We start from the raw sequence: 6,387 nt of genomic DNA, 5'->3' as shown, positions 1-6,387 counted from the left end.
CTGGGAAAGTTGAATAACTATTCGTTACTATGCTCAAATAAGGATTTGAGCCTTATTTGATGGAGGTTTATTCACATTCTCTTTCTGTCACATGTTCTATTCACTTCTTTGAAAATAATCTCAAGTTCAATTACCCTGGTTTTAAAAACATGAAAGACAACTTATAAAATGTTACACTTTTTTCCCCTACAATGCCTTCAGATAATATGAGGCTGGTCACAGCCCATGATATAAAATACTAACTGTTGACTCACAGTCACACTACAAGGGCCAATTTTACAGACTGCCAGGATAAAGATGATTTTAATTAAATTGCACAAATCCCTTTGTACTGCAACCAAACCCCTACGCAGGCTGATCAACTCTGAGCCATTCTGGTGTGTATAGAGTTAACCAGGTTACCAGGATTCCTAGTTAACTTCTTTCACCAGGAATGCAATTCATGTTTACCTATATAAGGAAACCTGTTAGGCTGACCTGAGTTTGGCGGATTTTTGCGCTGACTGAGAGGCGTGTAAGCACACACCCTGGAGAGGGGGAGTGATTCCGAGCTGGACAGAGCAAGCTTCCTGAACGCCCCAGCCATTCAGCTGATCCGAGGCAAAGAGCCGGCACTTGCCCCAGCCCAGCCTGCTTGAAGGACCTACAGGTTTGTCTCTTCCAGATCAGAACTGAGGAACAAAAACCCCCATCCTGGGAAAAATGGGGAAGCTGGTGAGTCTTACCACTCTCTCTCTGCTTGCTTCTGCTAAGTGGCACGCCTGTCTGCTCTCACCCAGGAAGCAAAGTAAGAGGCGTTGCTCAGCCTCTAACCCCACAGCTCCTTCCTGAACAAATACAATGCTTTGCGAATACCTCCAGACAACTTTTTCTGCCTGTTTTGCACACCGAAAATCCACAGAGGCAATGATTTTTAGCACTTTAGACATTCCAGAGAGTGTTTTTCCTAGGCAAGCGTTTCTATACTGTCGTGATGAGCAAACTTTCTCATCTTTGTTACACTCTAAAACAGTGGAAATTAGCCTTGGGGTGCTTTGTGAGGAAGGCTGAGTCCCCAAGGAAGTGATAGTAAATCTAAATGGGGTTTTTAAAACCACAGGCAGTGTGATATTCTGCAAAAGCGTAATTTGTCACTAAAAAGGCAGTCTGAAGGTATCATTTTTCATTCACGCAGCAGCAAAATCCTTGCATCCTGCATATGTAATAAAGGACACCTTCTGAGACACTGAGGAAAAATAGAAGCCGAGCTGGCCTCTTTGTTCTAGACAATGTAAAGAAACTCGCTCTTGCGTTTTGACAAGGAGCGTATGTCTATTTATATATATGGCGAGAACGGTGAATAAAGGCTTTATGTCAAAGGTATTGTGGTCAATTGAGTTAAAATCTGGCTATATTCTATATGTGTACAAAAATCTCAATCTGAATGTAATTAAACATGGAAATGTGAAAGTGTTTAACAGACTTGCAGGGAAATTTTAATTATACTTGGGAACAGCCAATTGTAAGAGACAACTGGGAAAGGAAAAAAAATGTTTCAGCTGAGTTCTGGGGCATAGGTAAAACTTTTGCAAAGAAAGTCAATTTTTTATAGCTGTCAAAAGTGATTTGGAATCAGGTAAAAAAATTTATTTTTATTTTTTCATGGTGATGTGGTTTTTTGAGTTGAATTAACTTGGATAATTGTGTTGAATGATTTGACTGCTCGTCTTTCAAAGGAATACTGTTGTTTTCTGTCATATACAGACTTTATCCTGAGTTTTGGGAGCAGGTTTGTGCTACTGACTGCAACAAGTGGCACAAAGACTCAATTTCAGATTTCTGATATTATGAAATTAATTGCTTAAGTTAATTTAAAGAAAAGTAATCAGTGCAAACAAGGAGATTTGAGAAAATGACCACGTTTTTAAAAAATGCAAGTCATAGTCCATTCCCTAGTGAGACTATTGATTTCAAACAGGCATTGGCAACTGCCTAGTCATAAGGACAAAAGCTATGGCCAATTTTCTCTAGGATCTTTGACTCTAGAAAGCATAACTTTCGCAAGGACACAGTTTAAATGAAACTTGTTCACCTCTGTGAGAATGAAACATAGAAAAGCACCGTGTATAATACAATAGACACTTTAGTAAATAAAATTCTTAATAGCACAAGCCGCAGAACAGAAGGGACAATGCAAATGTTTTAAAGTTTATCTTTTCAGTGCTGCTCAGAAAAATATGAGTCTTGACATTCTGTTGCTGTCGATGGGAGTCAGCAACCCAGGAGACACAAAACACTGTTTTAGAATATACAGTTAATAACAGATGGTTTAATACCAGGTTTTCTCACCCTGCTGATGAGATGGCCCCAAGCCAAATCAGCCAGCACGTCTGCCGTTTTTCCTGTGAGTTGATATGTACATAGTTATTATACACTAATTACACTAACAGCCAAGGGAATATATAACCAGAAAGACAGATAAGTCTCCTGGGGTAAGGAGGGCAAGGGGGCGGTGTATGCATAGGGTTTTTGGATCTCATGTTTAGAATTATCCTTGCCAGTGGCATATGAATTACTGCAGATTACTGGGAGTCTCACGGCTAGAATCTACTCATCCCCGGCTCCTCAGCAGCCTGTTTGGGGGTAATAATATTGTTTATGGTATTTAACACTTTAGTATTAACAAAGTTCCAGGAGGATTCCTTCTTAAAGATTAAAGTTTTTCCAGTGTCTGAACTAATCCTCCAATTAAAGACAGTTAGGACCTATATTGTTGCATTGACCCTTTTCAAGTCACAGTACTGCGTGCTTGCATGGAGGGTTTAACCAATCGGCAGCCTCCGTAGATCTGCAAGATGTTAGTAGGTGCCCTGGTTAAAAGAGGTTGGAAAATACTGGACAAAAACAAACAAACAATGGGAAATAGGTCTTCTCAGAGCCTTAATATGTTCATTTATTAATACGTGTTTTGACTCCCTGAGAGAAGTATAGTGTGCACCATATGAAGTATGGTTTGCTGCAAACTTACTTGATGGCTCATTTCTAGGCTGATCATTTTGAGAAACATTCTTTAAAACAAAGCTTCTCAATGGATGGACCTCAGAGCACTGGTAAATGATGAGTGGGTTGCAGACATACCCAGCTGTTAACCCCTCTTGGCACATGGGCCATCAGGCTGTGGCTGGCCTGAGCTGATCCCTGGAAGGTTATTTCTGGATCACATAGCTTCATCAGTTTACCTCCATATATGGTGCAGATTGCATCAATTTCTCTGTCATGATGTGCTAAAGTTAGGAAACTGCCTTTGACAATCTAGGCCCAGAATATTGATCAAACCAGTCAAAATACCCCAACACTGTATTAACTTGGGCCTGGGGGCTCATGCAATCATGAGAGTGTTAAGGCCCTCTACATGTTATCCAGTTTGTCCTCTTTATTTTATAAAGAATTTAATGATGTGTTCTATAATGTGTGTATGTGTGTGTGCTATTCTATTCTTAGAAGTTTCCTGAACAACTGATGGCAAAGTGCTTCATGGAATCCTTTCTAACATTTGGTTATTGCTTATACTTCCCTTTCTCAAACTGCTATCAGGGTTTGTTTGGCTGGGATTCTCCCACCACTAATATGGCTTAGTCCAGGGGCGATGGACATAAAAGAACCTGGCTTTAAAGGTTATTTGTTAAATTCAAATCCTTTTCTTGGGCACTGTACCAAATTTGTACACAGCATTTCTATCACTGGTGAACTTTCTCTGGCTTCCTCTGCCTACCATTTGACATCGATTATCTTTCAAAAACATTTTTTGCATTATTAATTCCTGTTACATTCATTCAGCAAATATTTATTGAGTGCCTTTTGAAGTCCTATGCTAAGTACTCTGGAGGAAAAATGGGTATATAAGAGACAGATGAATTTAAACCAAGTCTTCATGCAATGGATAGCATTTCTGCAAAGAGAAATCTCATTACCTGAATGGTGCAAGATGTGAAACATGATTTGCTGCAAACTTACTTGATCACTCACTCTTTTGCTAATCGTTCTCTAAATCAGAGCTTCCCAACTGGTGGCCACAAAACACTGGTGGGCAATGAACAAGTAACTGATACGTCAAGATATTCATGCTTTCACTGACCAGATGATCTCCATGTCAGATAATGCCAGGTAGATGCCAATAAACTTGGTGTGCTTATAGAGGAAGGACCACTTGATTCTCCCTGCAGAGCATCTATAAATAACTGAGAGTTGGATGATGCCAGTTTATATTTTGTTAATGTAATTTTCAAAACCACTCTCTTTGGGGTTGTCAAGTATTCCTGGGGTGCCACATGGAGAAGAGCTATTTCCATAGTACTAGGTAACTTGAGAGCTTTTATAATGGCTTGTAATCACTGGAAATTATTAGCGTACAAGTTTCGGTAACAATTCTTATAAAGTAGGCAAGAGCAGCTGCCATTACTTCTAAGGTCATACCTGTAAGGCTTAGAATTGGGGACTATGAATTAATAATGAGTTTGCACCAGTAGGATTTTCCAAGTACCTAGGGCATTAGTAAAACCAATTTAAAATATATTTATATTTGAGGAAAGGTTAGCTGGTGAGGTGATAGTCAGGACTATGACTTCTAGTTAAATGTAAAAGTACATTTCCGTTTTTAAATTAATTGCTTGCAATCACATATAAGGGAATCTTCTGTGAATGAACCTTTCAAAGACATTGAGTTACTATAAATATTAATGTCAATGGTTCATTTAATGTTATTTTTATTTTAAAAGAAAATAAAAATGGATTGCTGTGCTTTGGGGAATATAGCATTTTCAGAAATGCATGGTACATAATAGCTGAAGCTGCATAAAGAATGGTTCTAACTGTGTGTGAGTTGAGTATACTCACACTCTCTTGTGAGTTGCTCTTCACTTGTCTAAACTTGAGACAAAAATGAAATTAAGCAGAGCCTCCTCAAATTGACAGTTTGAGTTTTAACACGTGACAGAATTGGAATTTTGGTCAAAGAGCCTGAGCCAGAAAAGGCTGAATTATTTATAGCTATTGTTCTGCAACAGAGGCCTTGATTATTTTAACCAAAATTATTTCTCCCCCTGAGTATCTAATTGTGCAGTTATTTATATCTGTACTGACACACTCATCATGTATTGCCTTGGGGGAACAAAACAGCATATAAACTACCAGAGAACAGATAACAAGTTTACTCGAACTGATATCCTTGGCTCAATGTTAAGAAACAAAAGAATGGTAGTGTTTCCCAAGTTTCTTCCAGAGCAATGAATGGTGGGTTTGGCCAAGACATTTTAAACTTCTCAGGGATTCAATTTCCTCATCTATCGATGGAGACATAAATACACACTTCATTGGACGGTTATGAGTATTGAAAATGGTCATGTCTGTGAACGTACCTGGCACAATGCTGGGCATGAGGCCAATCAGTAAATATTGGCTGGATCTGAAATGGGTGGGGATAAGTTAGGCACATCGTCAAGTAAACAATTCAGGGGTTGAAGAAGTAGAAGCAGATGCACACTGGTGGCCCTTATGTAATTTTGCCCACTCAATGATTTAAAATTTGTGTTTCAGTGAAGCATGATATACCTTCTAATGTCTTACACCATGTCCTCTGTTTATTGGTGTTACCTGTTTGTCCCTTGTAGGTTTTTGTGTTTGACACCCTTGCTCTAAAGACTTCTTTCTTCTCTAGCAATCTACGTCTTCTCAATGTAGATTTCCCCCTTTTAAGGTGTTTTCTCAAAAGTACCGTATTTTATAAAGCAAAAAAATACTCACTTCATACTTATTAATTTAACAGCTTGAAATCTTTTTCACCAGCAATGGCGGGAGGAGCTGGGCTAGCAAATTCATTGGTAAAAGCCACTTGCCCCCCTAGATTACCCTCAGACCCCAGTCTCTTTCTCTAATTCCCCATCCACCAACACCCTACCCCAGCAGAATGTAACATTTAATCTGATGTGGCGTCCAAGATGTGGAGAGAATGTATCCCATGCGCTAACATATCTTGGCAAGAGTTCACTCTTTGCTAAGGCAAGTGGGGGCCATATGGTGTTTGTGTAATGAGGAAGCAGGGCAGCTTTATCAAAGCGTAGATCAAATGGCTCCCTACTTCTGACTTATTTTTATTGAATCTCATATATGATCGATTATAAGATTCAACGCTAAGAAAGAAAAAATTCTTCCAATTAATCTATAACACAATGTTTTCTTAGCATTTAAATATTTTATGCTAAATTTATTGAAATAACTCTCTAACAGAGAGTTATTCTCTTTTAGATAGAAATAACTCTCTAACAGAGAGTTATTGGCTGACTATTATTTAGACTGATTATTTAAAAATCATATGTCTCCCCCTGTGCATAAATAAAATGGAAGATATAGGTG

General features: G+C 38.7%; 1 protein-coding gene across 1 annotated transcript in view; it reads left to right on the top strand.

Annotated features, from left to right (window-relative positions):
- Positions 585-6,387, top strand: part of MID1 (midline 1) — a 388,374-nt gene continuing 382,571 nt past the window's right edge. Inside the window, exon 1 of the mRNA NM_033290.4 lies at positions 585-714. The gene's annotated coding sequence lies outside the window, so the exon portion shown is untranslated. The remainder of the gene's footprint in view (positions 715-6,387) is intronic.

Source organism: Homo sapiens, chromosome X (assembly GCF_000001405.40).
Source record: "Homo sapiens chromosome X, GRCh38.p14 Primary Assembly".
Taxonomy (NCBI): Eukaryota; Metazoa; Chordata; class Mammalia; order Primates; family Hominidae; genus Homo; species Homo sapiens.
This window is presented reverse-complemented; position numbering and strand designations above follow the sequence as displayed.